The following is an 18,202-nucleotide window of genomic DNA, read 5'->3' as shown; positions in this document are numbered from 1 at the left end:
CCACCTGCTCTGGTAACAGAGAAACAGAATGTTAGTATTCACAAACATGTTAACTTTTACTTTCACCGTTGCTCATGGTGAACTCAAGATGGACAGCTAAATCTTAGTTTCTCCATTACACTGTTTGGCAAGGGGGAATTAAAACAGTATGCTGTTTCCTCTTGCAGAAAGTCGGCACTCATCCATCTGTGGCATTTCTTTCTTCATCCTTACTTATCTTGGCCCTGCTATTTACTGTGCTCTCTGGCCCCTCTCTCAACTCAGTATGGAACGTGGGTTTAATTTTAATTATAAACAAACCATAACTGAGAAGGTAACTCTGTTACAAGCAGATAATTCTTCATGAAGACAAGTATAAATTCAGGCTAAGGAGTGATTTAATTGCTATCATCTTATTCAATTCTACAAATTTTGTTTAGCGAGAAAATATTGACTAAATAGTTCTTTCAGTTAATTTGGTCTTCAAATCCGTGCCTTCAATACCAGATATTATCCTATATCTTCACTCCCCAAAAGATTTATTTTAATGTAAAACTCACCATGAAAAAGTAATCAGTCTCTTCAATAACTAGATCAAAACCATCCTGCAAAGCCTTCCTAGAGGCATCTAGTCTTAGTCTCCTAATGATGTCCCCAGTTGATGATTTCACCCAAATCAAACGGGTGAAATGAGTGAGCTTTGGAAAAGTTTAAGAGGACTGAGCTTAGAGTGAGCTTTGGCCTCCATTTGCCAAAGCTCACTCTAAGCTCAGTCCTCTTAAACTTTCCCTTAGCTCTATTAAGAATTCTGCAAAACAGTAAGAAAAAAAAAATCCATGTGATTAAATACCATCTTTCCTATCAGGAATGCCTTCTGACCCAGTGGTCCCCATTTCCTGCATTTTGGACAGAATTCCCAAGAATGCCTTGTGAATGTTGGTTGGAGTAAATTGTGTGGGTCCTTTACAACTTCTTTCTTTTGATAATATTACTTAACATTTTGTAGTGAAGCAACACTGGTGGAACAAATAGATTAAACCATAGGCAGGGTTGGATCTCAGAGCAAGATGAATTGCTTTGTGTATCTGCTGATTTTCAGCCAAGCCAAGGCCTAATACTCTCAGTCATGAATGGAAATTAGTGATTTGGGATTTCAGTGAGTGCAGAGATGCTGGGAAATAGCTGAACATCACATACGTAAAATTATCATTACAATAAGTATCTTTGGATTACCACAGGATTTGGAAGTCTACTAATTTGCTAGCTCATTTCAAGCAATCTATGATATTCTAGAAATACAGGACTAGAAAATTATTCATATGATGATGAGCAGTAATCTAGAATCCAATGCTTTAAAGTGTGGTTTCTAGCTTAGCATCTAAGTTTTGCAAGTTATTTAACCTTTGTGCTTCTCAGCAACTTTACATGGGTAAACTGAAGTTTAGACTTGGTGACTTCCTATGTCATATATGCGTCAAACTTCTGAACTATCTATCCGTCTGTCTTCTGGCGCCCATGTTCCATTGAAAATAACGGTCTTTCCAGGTGTATCCAGATCGAGCTTCAGAATCCTTCTTAACACAGCACTAAGTCAACCGCTAGTGAGATATCAGAATTGTCTTACAGCTGAAACTGATTTTTCATCCCTCTCTTATGTCCTTGCCTCAGCTCAGTGCCTTGTGCAAGACTTTGAAAAGAAGCATACAGGGAATTATCATCAGTATGCAGGGTTTTGGTGATAAGGCAGACAGCTCTTTACTCATCCTCTTGCTCAGCTGTTCCGTGGAGGTGTTGCCATCTGACAAGGAGGGCTGCAGCCTTGCGCTTTGGGAGCTAACTTCTCTTTTCCTTTGAGCTGTAAGTGATGAGAGACCTGTCAAGGAGAGCTGTTCACTGGCATCATTCCCAGACCTGGAAGTATAATGAAATAAAGTTTCTTTCCAACTTGGTTGGAATTCTTGCAGCTGAATATTTAAGATAGCATCTGGGGCAGTTCTGACGTCCACTTGCCTGGTTGGAAAGAAACACCCATGAGCTAATGGAACTCAGGCCTTCACACTGGTAGCCCAAGTCAGGGCTGCTCTGGGCAACTCAGTTCTAACTAGAGTCATCTAGGCCACAGGTCCCAGCAGGTGAGATGGAGCCCCCTCCTTGCCTAATGAGCCAGCAATTTGAAGTCCGCATTTCAGAAACTTTGTCATATACAAAGAGGGATATCAAAGCAGGAGCTGGTTTGAAAACCACCAACATTGGCACTGTCCCTAGACCTAGACTACTTAATGCTAAAGGTTCCAGGGCACTCTTTCTAGTACCATGAGGGTAGTAGCAGAGCCACACCTTTTAGCTTTAGAGATTGATGGGGGACAAGGGATGACAGCCGCGTCCTAGATTCCCTGAGCCAGCGTCAAATATCTGGGCAAAGTAGGCGTAAGAAGCTTTGCAAAGACCACCTTATGAGCCATGCTTCTGTCCCCTCTAAAATTTTCTGAGAACTGGGTAGAGGGACTCCTTAATCTCTGTGAACCTTAGCTTCCTCATCTGTAGAAAGGGAAGAAGGTACATTTCCCATGAGGCTGTTAACAAATGAAAATATAAATGATGTATGTGTGAGTGATTAGTAAATTATAATATGTATGGGAGGGGAAAATAGTCTGATTCCATCCCTTGGGTAGAAGCCATTTATTTTTCATGTCTCACAGAATGTCTAGTTCTGCTCTTTTGCCATGGAAGTTTCTCTCTACTTTCAGATTATTCTCCTAAATAATCCTCAGGCACTACCCCAACCCTCTAGCATTAAAGGCCACCCAGAGAGAAAGGCACTACACTTACAAGCCAGGGCCTGGGTCAAGTTTCAGCATAGCCACCAAGTAAGATTTAGGTTTCGCCATGTTGCCCCTTCAATCTTTAGTATTTTTTCTCCTGGATAAAAATATAGATCTTATTGACTCTACCTGGTACATAGAAATGTTTAGAGAGCACATTTATTAATATATCCCATGTACTCTGTGGATTGTAAAATAAGGGCTTACTATTATGCTTCAAATCTAATATCTCCTAACAACTCATCCTTGTTTATTGAGGAGGAATAATTGGAAACCTATTTCTAGGGTAGCAAAAGCTCCAGAATGTGGAGCTACAGTGATGTGTATGTAGTTTCCTGGTTTTGGAAGCCAGTCAACATCAAATGATATTGTGCTTCTAGGGAGATGCCTGGCGGCATTCAAGAAGGCTGTGACCTGCCATAAATAATCGGTGGCTTTTACATTTGTAAGTCAAGATGTTCTTGGTCTCAGCAGATGGCCCATAAATCTTTCTGGATAGCTGAGCTTTAGCCATCCTACCCCAACTCTTTCTTCTTCTTGAAGGCATAATGAAAGCTTTGAGAAACATGTACATTTTTGGTTCTTTCACATGCAGGTTCCCAGCCACTTCTTGATGACTTTCTTCTCCACACCCCCTGCACTCCCGCCGGCCATGCACTTCATACCCATGATGTATTCTGTCAAGAGAGGAGAAGGGGTGATTTCTTTCTCTGTCACATCTGGACATCTATTTACTGTGAACTTATAGCATCCTAGATCTTGAAGTAACCTGAGTCCTAGGATGTCAGATAGATTTCATCTGGTGACAACTTAGGTCCCCTGGTGTGGCTTCCTGGGGCTCTACCTCTGGGCTCCATGAGCCAACAGGGAGTGAGGGGAGGGTAGTAGCATGCAGTTACCTTATTACAGGTAAAGAAAGTGAGGTTCAGAAACATTCATTGACTTGCTAATATCCACTGTTAACAAGAGACAAAGTTCACATTTTCTTGCTCAATTTATTCAACAATCAATGTTTGCTGAATGCCAACCCTGTATCAGGTACTGTTCTAGGCCTTGGGATTCCCAGCTGTGAGTATATATGGATTAACCTGCATGGAGATTTATTTTTCAGGCAATCATTAGCCTCAGAGTTGGAATTCCCCAGAATATGGAAGCTACAATAAGAAAAAAATTCAACAAACCACATTTATTTATGTATTCACTAAGTCATCTGTGTATTCACCTATGCATTCATTTCCATGCCTGTTTACCTGACGAAAATTTATCCACTTTCAAAAACTGGGCCCTTGTAAGAGTTGTTTGAAAACTACTTGAAAGTAATCGGTGAAAACAAATTGTCCAACAGCTATCTTTGCCTTCCGCCCTCCTTCCCCTCTAAACACCTAAGAGAAACTGAACTGTAAAAACAAATTCAAGAGGTGTAGCTATCCTAGTTTCACAAAGCAACCTCCAAGGAGAAACCTGGGCGGACCAAATTTTTTCTACTTTATCAAAAGTTTCTGAACTGTTAGAACCGTTAAGGAGAAAGAATTTGCAACTAAAGTGATCTAGAACTGTTGCAATTCCATGTGACTTGGGTAGAAGTATAAATGGCAATGGATATGAAAGTCTCTTATCCCCAAATTTGAACACTGTAGGTAAATATACAATAATCCTATCCACTGTGTGTGGTGATCTGTCTCTGTCTACAACTCTGACTCCCCATTACTTGCTTCAAGGCCAGACCAATGTCAGAAACACTTGCACTGATGGTTTTAAGAGCTGTACTCTCTGTGTGCCAGGCATTTTGCATATTCCTTTAATGGGATTTCTTAAACCTTTTTAAAAATTTTCAGTGTAGTGATCATTTTAAAATTACCACATGGCATGCTCTGTCAAGCAACAAGTTTTATGGAAGAGTACATCCTCCTATGCTCAAAGGATAGAGGGCCAGACTCAGGGAGACTCCAATTCTCAGTCTCTGTCCTTTTCCTAACAGTTTCAGTAGCGTGCTAAAAGCAGTGTTAAAAGGCATTTTATCCCCTTTTATAGATAAGGAAACAGACACAAAGAGAGTTAGCTTATTATCCGGTTAGTAAGTGGCAGAGTGAAGTTCAAATCCAAGTGTGTCTTGATTCCCAAGCCCACGTTTTTACTGAGGTCAGGTGCCTCCATTTCAACACCAACTGTAGGTAGATCTATAGCTAATACACTGGAAAAGTAATCTTCAACCTGGGTGCTCATTCTCCTGAATGGTGTGAAGACTTTTCAAGGGAAAGGAAGGCATGGATAATTAGCCTTACAATAATCCATTTTCAGATTCTCAGCTTCCACACGTACATTAAAACTGATCATCTTGCAACTGCACCTGTGGCTTTCACACCAACTTTTCCCAACCACTGTTCTCCCTCTTGATAAAAGAAAGGCCCCTGCTCACCTCCATCAGGTCTTACTATGATGTGTTGCTCAAAGTATATAAACCTTCTCTGAGAGCCAAACAAAAGGACTTGTGACTTATCTTTTAAATAAGGAACCATAAGTGGGTCCCTGTCACGTTAAGAGATGCGTTCCCAATGGGATACTTCTCTTGGGTTTGGAAATTATGTATCAAAATTTGTAATAAAGTCTCGTTTTAATTAGTTTATACTAATAATAATTATGCTGTTAAGCTCAATCGAGAAGAAAAGTTTTATTAGCACCTTCTGTTCACAGGAAGTATTTTTTAAGTTAGATTTCAGTGTGTATGTACGTGTTTTTGTTTCAGAGAAGTATGATAGGATGATAATAAAAGACTTTTAAGCATAAAATTCCATTATGATAAAATTCTGTATGAGTAGAATTGAGGTAGAGTGGGGAAAATGGGAAGTAAAATGGGAGTTTTGGTTCTAGGTCAGGCATTAGTGGATGATGGCCTGTGGGCCAAATATGGCCCACTCCCTGGACTTGTAAATACATTTTATTGGGACACATCTGTGCCCATTTTTCTGTGTAGTGTCTGTGGCTTCCTTCATACTACAGTGGCACAGTTAAGTAGCTGTGACAGAGACTACCTAGAAAGCCTAAAATATTTAGTATTTCGGCTTTTACATAAATCCTATTGACCCCTATTCAAGGAGGAAAATATTGATAACAATTTCCAACTATTCGAGAAGAGATTATTCGTGTATTTTTGAGTCATATGGATCTCAAATCACTATTGTATGTACATTCAACTATATATTGAAAAGATGACATACAATTTTATCTTTTTTTTTTTTTTTTTTCAGGCAAGTGTCACTCTGTTGCCCAGGCTGGAGTGCAGGGGTACGATCTCGGCTCACTGCAACCTCTGCCTCCTGGGTTCAAGCAATTCTCCTGCCTTAGCCTCCCAAGTAGCTGGGATTACAGGCATGCACCACCACGCCCGGCTAATTTTTCTATTTTTAGTAGAGACGCGGTTTCACCATGTTGGTCAGGTTGCTCTTGAACTCCTAACCTCAGGTGATCCACCCGCCTCGGCCTCCCAAAGTGCTGGGATTATAGACATGAGCCATGGCTCCCAGCCAGTTTTATCTTTTAAATGTCAATATTGTAGTACACTGAAAATTATATTCTTTGAAACTATTTCAACTTTGATGAAAATTTTCTGTTTTGTTTTATTTTTGAGACTTGCTCTGTCACCCAGGCTGCAGTGCAGTGGTGCGATCTCAGCTCACTGCAACCTCCGCCTCCCAGGTTCAAGCAATTCTCCTGTCTCAACCACCCAAGTAGCTGGGATTACAGGCATGTGTCACCATGCCTGGCTAATATTTGTATTTTTTTAATAGAGACAGGGTTTCACCATGTTGCCCAGGCTGGCCTCGAACTCCTGACGTCAAGTGATCTGCCTACCTTGGCCTCCCAAAGTGCTGGGATTACAGGTGTTAGCCACCATGCCTGGCCTGATGAAAAATTTCATCTGTTGACTTAAAAATGTCTGAGCGATACATATAGTTTTTAAAATAGGGAGTGGGGAAATCACTGCTGTGTCCGGAATTGGTGGGTTCTTGGTCTTACTGACTTCAAGAATGAAGCCGTGGACCTTCGCAGTGAGTGTCACATCTCTTAAGGTGGCGCGTCTGGAGTTTGTTCCTTCTGATGTTCAGATGTGTTCAGAGTTTCTTCCTTCTGGTGGGTTCATGGTCTCGCTGGCTCAGGAGTGAAGTTGCAGACGTTCGCAGTGAGTGTTACAGCTCTTAAGGTGGCGCTTCTGGAGTTGTTCATTCTTCCCGGTGGGCTCATGGTCTCGCTGGCTTCAGGAGTGAAGCTGCAGACCTTCGCGGTGAGTGTTACAGCTCATAAAAGCAGTGTGGACCTAAAGAGTGAGCAGTAGCAAGACTTATTGCAAAGAGCGAAAGAACAAAGCTTCCCCAGTGTGGAAGGGGACCCGAGCGGGTTGCCACTGCTGGCTCGGGCAGCCTGCTTTTATTCTCTTATCTGGCCCCACCCATGTCCTGCTGATTGGTAGAGCCGAGTGGTCTGTTTTGACAGGGCGCTGATTGGTGCGTTTACAATCCCTGAGCTAGATACAAAGGTCCTCCACCTCCCCACCAGATTAGCTAGATACAGAGTGTGGACACAAAGGTTCTCCAAGGCCCCACCAGAGTAGCTAGATACAGAGTGTCGATTGGTGCATTCACAAACCCTGAGCTAGACACAGGGTGCTGATTGGTGTGCTTACAAACCTTGAGCTAGATACAGAGTGCCGATTGGTGTATTTACAATCCCTGAGCTAGACATAAAGGTTCTCCACATCCCCACCACAGCAGCTAGATACAGAGTGTCGATTGGTGCACTCACAAACCTTGAGCTAAACACAGGGTGCTGATTGGTGTATTTACCATCCCTGAGCTAGACATAAAGGTTCTCCACATCCCCACCAGACTCAGGAGCCCAGCTGGCTTCACCCAGTGGATACCACACCGGGGCTGCAGGTGGAGCTGCCTGCCAGTCCTGCGCTGTGCGCCCACACTCCTCAGCCCTTGGGTGGTCGATGGGACTGGGCGCAGTGGAACAGGGGGCGGCGCTCATCAGGGAGGCTCCAGACGCACAGGAGCCCACGGAGTGGGGGGGAGGCTCAGGCATGGCGGGCTGCAGGTCCCGAGCCCTGCCCCGCGGGAAGGCAGCTAAGGCCCAGTGAGAAATTGAGCTCAGCGCCGGTGGGCTGGCACTGCTGGGGGACCCAGTACACCCTCTGCAGCCGCTGGCCCGGGTGCTAAGCCCCTCATTGCTCGGCAACGGCAGGGCCGGCTGCTCCGAGTGCGGGCCGCCAAGACCACGCCCATCTGGAACTCCAGCTGGCTCGCAAGCGCCGCGCGCAGCCCCGGTTCCCGCTCGCGCCTCTCCCTCCACACCTCCCTGCAAGCCGAGGGAGCTGTCTCCGGCCTTGGCCAGCCCAGAAACGGGCTCCCACACTGCAGCGGTGGGCTGAAGGGCTTCTCAAGTGCCGCCAAAGTGGGAGCCCAGGCAGAGGAGTCACCGAGAGCGAGCGAGGGCTGTGAGGACTGCCAGCACGCTGTCACCTCTCACTGCCTTAGAAGACAGGATCATGAATGTGGCTTCCATAGTTCAAGACCATCCTAATGATGGACTGGAACTTGTTTCCTTCTCATGGAGCAAATTGAGGCCTATGTGGGCATCTCAGCCCTCACTCAGTCTATTGCTCTGCAACTTAGATGGTAGCTGATAGAGACATAGGGCCCTAATGGGACATTGTTAAAACACAGTCTCCTAAATGTCAGGCCTCAGTTATATAGATCAGAAAAATTTTCCCTGTACTGGCACTACTGATTAGCCAGCTAGGGGAGAAAAAGAACAGCAGTCTCGCTCCAGGAGGCAGAAGGCTGGCCTTTATCCTGATGTACCTGTAGGATGGATGGGAGCCTGCACCATGCTCTGGCTTCACGGATTGGGTTGTACCACTCAAGTGGACATTTAAGCCTGCTTAGAAACCTTGATGCATGTTATAGTTTGAAATATGTCCTCCTCAAAAATATATACCAGAGTCCTGGCCTGGCATGGGTGGCTTACGCCTGTAATCCCAGCACTTTGGGAGGCCGAGGTAGGTAGATCACCTGAGGTCAGTAGTTCGAGACCAGCCTGGTCAACATGGCAAAACCTCGTCTCCACTAAAAATACAAAAATTAGCTGGGTGTGGTGGTGGGCGCCTGTAATCCCAGCTGCTCAGGAGGCTGAGGCAGGAGAATCGCTTGAAACTGGGAGGTAGAAGTTGCAGTGAGCCGAGATCGCGCCATTGTACTCCATCCAGCCTAGGCAACAAGAATGAAACTCTGTTTCAAAAAACTATAGATATAGATATAGTTATATAGATATATAGATTGAAGTCCTAACCTCCGAAAGTTCCCTTATTTGGAGATAGGGTCTTACAGAGGTAATCAAGTTAAAATGAGGACATCAGATGGACCCTAATCCAGTGTGACTAGTGTCCTTATAAAAAGGGAACACTGGATGCAGAGACAGACATGCATAGAAGGAAGATGATGTAAAGAGACACAGGGAGGAGACAGTCATCTACAGGCCAAGGAGAAAGGCCTGGAACAGAGCCCCTTACAGCCTTCAAGAGGAACCGACCCTGCTGATGCAGACTTCCAGCCTCCAGAACTGTGAGACAATGAATTTCTGTTGTTTAAACCACCCAGTGTGCCATACTTCGTCATGGCAGTCCTAGCAAACTGATAGAGTGCACTCAAAAGCACAGATTCTTTTCATGGACTTTCCAAAGCCCAGGGACTTCTGTTTCTTCTAGCTGTGTTTTGAAATTGCGACATGGCATGGGTCATCAGGATACGAGTTGTTATCTCCTTCCCGTAAGAGCAATTAAGGTCAAAGACTGAAGCCAGAGCTCTTGGGTTTAAGTCCCATTAGCTGTGTGACCTCTGGCCCTAATGGTGTCTCTTGTAAAATAGAATAATAATACCTGCTTCTTAGATTACTTGGAGGACCAAGTGAATTAATAACATGTAAAACTCTTGGTGCTCGGCACATAATAAGTGCTCGACAATGAAACGTTCATTGCCATTGTTGGGGGGCCAGAAAGCAACCACTGCCTGAGAGCACCCCAGACCCATGAATCACACAGCAAGAAAGAAAGCCCGCATGGTCCCCTGGAATTCTAGAAGTTTTATTTGTGAAATTACCTTACAAATGTTAGAGAGGTTTAAAAAAAATCTCTGCTTGTCTTTTCTCTTGTTTTATCCTGTCTTATTCTTGGAAAAGTTAATATTTGAGAATAGCTAGCATGTCCTATTAATCCCTTTTTTAGAAAAGGACCCGCTCCGACACCAGTTGGCAGTTAGGTTTCATCAGTCACTCGAGATTATGGATTAACTCACTGATCTTTTTACCCTTTGAGCTAATTAGCCTCTGGACAAATACCGCTAGTCACAGAGGCCAAGCACAGCTGACCAAACACATTTCAAAGAGTAAATTTAGTGAGTAAATAACGCCAGGCTTAGATCTCTTGGTAATACTGCTTTTCTGAATCAGTGGAATCTGGATGATCTTTCCTTCCCAGGGAGAGATGGAAGTGTAATGTTTACAACCCTTCAAACCAACAGAAAAAAATGTAACGAATTAAGTCAGCTACTTCCTCCCTTGACTCCTCCTGTTCCCCCATTTAAAATGATTTCTTTTCTTATGTCTTCAAATAACAAGCTCAGTTTGACTTTAAATGACTTAAGTGTATCCTTTGGGATGGTTGTTTAATAGACCTCTTTCAAAGGGAGGCTTCCCTGTATGCCCAGCTGAAACATAATTTTTCTCAATTTAATTTAATTATCACCACCTGCCAAAACTTTCTCTCGCCTCCACAAAGCACCTTGAACAGTTCATGCCTCACCTTGGTGGTAAGGCCTGTTAAGTACTTGTAGATAATTATCCTCTTAATGTTTGGTGAAACTCAGTGTTTCTAGACCTTTCGTTCTTTGCTAAAGAAGACTTCTCCAGGTAGTCCTTTCCAAGCTCCCTTCAAGTTGTAATGATTCATACACACAACTTCACCAGTGAGGCCTCCATACCTGGGTTTCCACAGTTGCAGGGAGAACATCTCCCAAGGGTGGGCCCATCTCCTTGGCAATGGCAGTGAGGATGGTGTGTCATTCTGATGTCCAGCTCTGTCAGGTACCAGGTAGCTGGAATGGCAAGGCTCCTGGCCTCTCCCCTCATGTCTCCCTCATGTGAGCAGCCTTATCCTGTGCGTCGATGTTCTTCTGAATGCCATGTTTTTTCCTAATCCCACTCTGGAGAATCAGGAGTTTCAGACTGAGTGGCCAGCTCTGACATTGCACAACCACATACCTAAGTAACTCAGGTTTTGTGTTTTGTTCTTGCATTGAGGAAAAGAGAAGACAGGAAGCTATTGTGCTCTTATTTCAGAAGAGTGGTAAAAGTGTGGTCATTTTGTCACTTGTCACCAGTATTCAGTGATTCAACAAAACCTTTATCAAGTGTATACTACATGCCTAGTAATGTGCCAGGGACATGGAAGGAATTCAAAAAGAATACAATCCAGCTTTTGCTCTCAGGGATCTTAGAAAACAGTGAAAAGCTTATAAGATTGTAAGCAACATTAGCTAGTTAACCACAGAGTGGGAAGCCTCCAGTGGACTAAGTTGCAGTCCACTGTTTTGTGGCTACCACATTTAGAAAAAGCACACTCCACACTGGCATGGTTTTCCCAACCAGGTTATCATGTCTGCTGCTCAGCTGCATCTGGATAAATTGTGTAATATGATTTTATTGTATAGAATGCCGTGCATGTGTGTGTATTGGACAGAGGAAGATTACCAAGAAATAATTCATGGAACAAAGAAGGTATTAGGACAGCATTCAGCATATGATCCTTGGTGTGCGTGTGTGTGTGTGTGTGTGTGTGTGTGTGTGTGTGTGTGTTAAGTGTATGAATGTATTTGTGTGTGTGTTTGTGTGTGTGTTTACATATATAAGGAGAGCCTGAAAAATGAATACAATGCTATCAAGAGTGGATAATGATGGAGAATGAGACTGGAGAATCCAGAAGAAGAGTTTTATTTTTAGTATAGTATTCTTTAGTACATATTTTTACTATCGGTATAGTTTGACTTTTATAATAATTTTATTTAACCATCAAAGTAAATTCTTGAAAAATAGAAATCTTGTTAAAATATTAATAAAAATAAAACCCCTTACAATAATATGAACAACAGGGAAGCGACTAAAGGGGTTCATAAAGGGAATGTTTTACTCTTGACTTTAATTATTAAAGAAATATGATTTATTTAGAGTTTGTTTTGGAAATATTTAAAGCAGTGATTTTCATCCTTTACTAGATGTAGCCACCTTTTGAGTCTTTTAAAAATTAAGACCCAGCCCCAGGATCATCCCAGACTTTCTAAGCCAGAATTTCAAGTGAGGCTTAAGCAAGTGTGTTTTTAAACAGCACACACACCTCCTACCCCACACCCCCACCACATACTACACACATATACCACCACCAGCAGCTTCCTCAATCAATTCTGATGTGCACCAACTTAAGGCATAAAACTAGGGAAGTGATGCAAGTGGGGGGAAGCAATTGTGGCTGTAAACATACTGAGTTAAACTTCCTGTGAAATGACACAGATCTTAAATTGGGTTGAAAAACAATATACAATATCATGAATATTGAATTCACCACATATCATTATCACCCAAATATGAGAAAAAGCTAGAAATGCAAGAAGAAATGAATAAAAATATAGCTGGACTGACATTCATTACACTATTACTCTAGTATGTTAAAATATAATCTATAGAATACTTCAATAATATAATTAATGTGTCAACTAATAGGTACATATTGAATTGATACCTTTAAATATAGCTGTGATGGCATGTCTTTACATGGTAACTGTATTATGTTAAAATATAATATATAGAATACTTTAATAATATAATTAACATGTCAACTACTAGGTAGGTACATACTGAATTGATACCCTCCACTGAGAGTATGCCTTATTTTTCAGTATCCATGCAACTTTTTCAAAAATGCATCACTTACATGGCTAAAGATCCTCAATAAATTCTCAAAGGCTTTTAAATAACCACTGAACCAAAGAGGAAATCTAAACTACTACTAAAGATTACAAAAATGATGACAGTGAGAACATCACATGCCAAAACTTATGGGATATAGCCAAAGCTGCCCTCAAATAGTATATTTGTAGCCCCAAAATTATTTTTTTTAATTATTTATATAGAAAGAATGAAAACAAGTGAACTCAGGATATAACTCATTTTAGAAAATAACAACAAAAGCACCCAAAGAATACAAAAGGAAAGATAATGCAAGGCAATAAACTAGAAAATAAAAGAAATAATAGAATCAATAAATGAATCTAAGAACTATTTCTGTTAAGGCAATTATTTAATAGAAATAATTGACAATTGACATTGACAATCTATCAAATAAAATGTAGAGAAAATGTAAGAATTAACAAAATTTAATTGAAAATGACATAGAGACATAGAGCTGATTAAAATATTATTAATGAATTTAATGGGTGGCAATATGCCAGTGTGCTTTACAAAGCTCAATTAGTACACCCAGACACGCATGCCTGCACAAACAAAATAACTATGGGCTATCTGTGAATAATATATTTGGGATAAAATATATACATTGCTCATAAAGCAAAGTGTCATACTTTGCCAGTTGAAGTATAGATTAGTACAGTCTTTCTGAAAATGGCAATATATATTAAGAACTTAAAATTTTCTGTGATATTTATCCTTCTATTCCAAGTCAAAGACTTTATCCTAAGAAAATCAGAAGTGCAGAATAAATATTCTTTGATATTTTAAGAGAGACTTTAGGAAGACTCATGTCATTGGAGTGAGCTGATGATATTAATGGTTGTGGGGAGAAATAAAACCAATAGAATGATTTCATCTAGAAAAAAAAGCATGGAATTATAAACTTAAAAATAATTCTGGAAGACTCTGCACCACAATGTTAACACTCATTATTGCAGTGTAAGGATTACAAGTGATTTTTAACTTCTTCCTTTTATTTTTATATTTCTTTCTAATATTACTCAATTGGAAGGTAATATTTCTATAATTAGATAATAAACTTACTAAAACAAAAATTTAATATAAACATAATGGAAGGGTTATAATAACAGGCAAAGCACATACAAAAATCATGCCTGCATAATATATTGAGACTGAGGATGCCACCAAATCCTGATGTTCCCTGGTTAGTTTGTTTACTTTCCATTTCCCTGAAAGGGGCATGAATGAGAGGTGGAGGGAGAAGATATTAGCTAGGTTGCATTCTCTTTCCAAAGCCTGAATTCTTTTTTATTTCGTGTTTCCATCACTGGGTCTTTTATCATTAATCTCTAAGATGTCAGCTGTTCATCACCAGGTGCCTGAATCCCTACCAGAAACTCCTATTGGTGTTACCTATCCAGGGACACGGATTTCTCTTGCTCTTTCCTTTCTCTGTCCTTTCTCTCCCTGAATCTGAGCTGCTTTCTGGAAGTGGTCAGCAGCACCCTCCCTTTGCCAGAAGTGCAAAGTTTGGCCAACACTCCCCCTAGTGGCAATTTAACAGACTCCTGAACTGACCAACCCAAAAGCCAAGGACGAGCACTGATGCCACGCTGGGTTAGCTGGGGCACTTGTTAATTAAAGACATATCACTGGGCCCTACCTCAGGAGTGTGGCCCAGAAATAGGTATTCTTTTTTAACAAGCATCTCAAGCATGGGTTTTTGTCCCATTTGTACCCTTCCTTTGTCATTTTTATGGAATACATAGTGATTGGGATTCAGTTTTTTATAGAAACTTGATTCCAATTTTTAGTACTGAATGTGAAAAAAAACATTCAAGCTTCAAATCGATTGGCCTAGAGCATGTATTTCTTATATTTTAGAGAAGAGGCAATAGGATAAGAGAGAAGCTCTTGTAAACTAAATATACATTTCTAAAAAGAATAGAGACCAGAGGCGTTTGTTATAATGTCCTCCAGTGAACACTTGTGAAAAGACTAGCTGCTACTTTATTCTACCTGCAGCTATGTCAGTGTATAAATTACAACCAAGCACGTTATACCTTGGCACTGTTGCTTTCTTATTCTCCATGTCTATTTCTAAACATCCCCTATACGTGAAATTTGTTCTCCAGTGGCCAGCGAGCCAGCCTCTTTGGAGCAGCCTGCTGATTTAATCAACATGCTGCTTATCATGTTTTCCAGATGGTTAATGCATCTCTTAAATAAAACTGGCCCTAATTTGAACTGGTGTTTCTATTCTGGTCCTTTCTGAAGAACAATTTGTCTTATGGTCAAAGTTTCTTTTTCATTATTTCTCTGTAGGCTCTGGTGATGTCTTTTTACCACTTCTTTGTTTAAAACTGCCAAGTGGCACATTCATTCAATTCATTGATGCTAATCATACATGGAGGAAAAAGAAGACAGTTCATATTAATATCAACACATTCCTCAAATCATTTATCACTTACACGTAAAGTTGTAGAGAACAGATTTGTCAGAATTATTGATTGAGAAAGGAAAGAGCCCTTTGTTGTGGAACCGTAGATTGGTGTTTTCTCTTCATTGCTGCTTCTGCTTCGAGAAGGAGTATAACCTTGTCACGTGAAACAGCATTATTTGGGGAGCAGTAGATACAGGCCAAGTTTTTAGGAGTCTCAGTTAAAAACCCGTGGTCTTAATATTCAGTGTTACACAAAGGATTCCAAATATAAATAACCTTCACGCTGACCCATAGATTCAGGTCTGATTCCCATTTCACAAATGGGAATACGGCCAAGGTATACAGTTAGGTCATATAAAAGTGACATTAAACTCATATTGGCAGAATTCCATTGTGGTGTGACTTCTGCAATAATGAATGGCTGAAAGTAGGCAAGATAATGTAAGACTTGAATGGGGTTGCATTCTGAAAGGAAGGCAGCCAGAGGTCCTCAGAATTAAATGGAGGACCTGCAGTAAAAATATGGCTCTATTACACCAAGCATTTTCCTCTTTTCCTTTCCATTGCCTGTCTGAGATGATTTGGCAGAGTTTAAAAATAAATGAAGTATATTCATTTTTCCTTCAGAGTTTTTCTTTGAAGGCATTTGGTAAGGGGACAAAATGAAATATGAACACAGGCAGGATGGGGGATCAAGACATCAAAATGTTAGCATTATATCCAACATATATATCCTTATGTGAGGAGGTATGCTTGCTTCCAATTAAGATGACATCATACAGGCGGATGTGATGCTTCCAAGCAGTGTTAATGATCTGCTAGGTAATGCAGAGGAAATGATGTGTTTGGAATGGGTTTTTTTTTCCCATTTGTACCTTTCCACTTCTTTATGGACTGCAACATGTAATGATTGGGATTAGGTTTTTTATAGAAACTTGATTTCAATTTTCAGTACTGATTAGAGACAGGATTCTTTTGCAGGCATATCAGTTATGTTGATCATTGCTTTTCACATTTTATTGTAGCTGCCAAATCCTTATTATAAACAGAGTAGAACCCTACATATAAAACCCACAAAAGGGCAACTCTGAGGGAAACCAGGTTGAGCATCTCGGCAATTCCCCTTACTGAGCCATTTTCTCCAGTGCCTCCCTCTCTTCTCCCATAGCTGAGTCCGAAAACAATCTTCTGGGAGAAAGGATAAGGTTTCTTCTGTATAACCTAGGGGAAAAGTGCCTTTAATTATTCATTCATTCTCTGCTGGAACAAATATTTATTCGGTGCCTATGATAAGCCAGGCCCTCCCTCTTCTAGACACTGGGCTGCAGTAGTGAGGAGGAAAGACAAGGGGACTGTCCTCAGGGAGGCAGCGGGGGAGGCAGCCAGGCCACCCCAGCCATGATGCCATGAATACATTAAGAATGGGGAGAAACGGATCTTAGGGAGAGAACTCATGGGGAAAGGATGGTTGGGTAAGGCCTGTGGAAGAAACCAGGATGCTGAGGAAGAGTGGCCACATCAAGTGCTTGGGAAAAAGTGTTTCAGGCCAGGAAAGCTCCTGAAATCCCAGAGACAGAGGTATTCAAGGAATGGGAAGATGGCCAGAGCCCATCCTGGATGGGGGATGCGGGGGGTGATAGTGGCCAAGAGGTCAGAGGGAAGCAAGGCCAGTTGGAGAACTTGTACTAGGCTGTGATGGAAACTCAGTATTTTTCATTTTAAGTTTGCTTTTAACCTTGGTTTAATTGTTTATTATTAAACATCTTATGACTAAGCTGTTTATATTTGTATTCCTTCGACTTCCAAAATGGCTTTGTGGTAACTCACGTATGCGTTGTGTATGCGCAGGTTCATTTGGTTCATAAAAGCTCTAGACCATGTGGAGGAGGAAGGAAGTAGGTTAACTGTAGGGTATTGTAGTGGGATTGAGAATTTTAAAAGCCAGAGTAGAAAAAACAAAAAAAGAAAAGAATGCCTTACATAATTCTAATTAGTTAAAAAAAGGAAGGCCCTTCATTCTTAAGGAAAGAAACATCTACTACTAAATTCTAAACCTAATGTACAGACTTAAGTTTCCAAATTACAATGGTTCCACTTAAGATTTTCAACTTTATGATGATGTGAGAGCGACACACATTCAGTGGAAACCATACTTTGAGTACTCATACAACCATTCTGGTTTTTACTTTCAGTATAGTATTTAATAAATTACATGAAATACTTAACCCTTTATTATAAAATATACTTTACGTTAGATGATTTTGCTTACCTGTAGGCTAATGTAGGTGTTCTGAGCATGTTTAAGGTAGGCTATGCTAAGCTATGATGTTCAGCATTACGTGAATTTTCAACTTAAAATATTTTCCACTTACGATGGGATTATTGGGACATAATCTCATTATAAGTCAAGGAATATTTGTATTTCACTGAGTCATATACAATAATTCATCAACAATTCTCTTTATGAATATTAAATGCCAAATATACAAAAACTATTGGCACTCTAGGGAGTGCAAGCCTTAATCAGACATAAATTCTGCCTTCCTGGATCTTTCAATTTAATAGGATATATAAAGAACCTACACAAATAACTGTACTACAAGACAGCAGATACAAATATTAGTTTTCATGGGATCTAAAGGTAGGTTATCTAATTGCTTTCTGTCAATTTCAGATATCACATTAAAGCATGACTCTGGGACAGTTCCAGGTGAGGGGAAAGAGTTAAAGTAACCAGTCAGGTTTATAGCTTTTCTGTAATCAAGGACTTAACACACAGTACCCAGGGGCAGGGCAGAAGGGCAGGTTATTTAAGATGTCCTTCAAAGTTGACTCTCTCAGGAGTCTGGGACACAGGTGTTCTGCATAACTAACTGAAGACACATTGGGTATAGACATATAGGTGACAAATCAACACTGTTACGAA

General features: G+C 41.0%; 1 protein-coding gene across 15 annotated transcripts in view, besides 1 other annotated feature; it reads left to right on the top strand.

The window, feature by feature from the left end:
- Positions 1-18,202, top strand: part of ELMO1 (engulfment and cell motility 1) — a 596,421-nt gene that overhangs the window by 467,438 nt on the left and 110,781 nt on the right. The gene's annotated exons all lie outside the window — the stretch shown is intronic.
- Positions 1,578-1,778: a silencer, noted in NCBI's record as "peak6484 fragment used in MPRA reporter construct". NCBI's record gives its function as "represses an SCP1 promoter by STARR-seq MPRAs in K562 erythroleukemia cells {active_cell/tissue: K562}" and the evidence as "EXISTENCE:reporter gene assay evidence [ECO:0000049][PMID:32103011]".

This window comes from Homo sapiens, chromosome 7 (assembly GCF_000001405.40).
Source record: "Homo sapiens chromosome 7, GRCh38.p14 Primary Assembly".
Lineage (NCBI taxonomy): Eukaryota > Metazoa > Chordata > Mammalia > Primates > Hominidae > Homo > Homo sapiens.
Note: the sequence above shows the minus strand (reverse complement) of the source record. Positions and strands in the feature narration are given on the sequence as shown.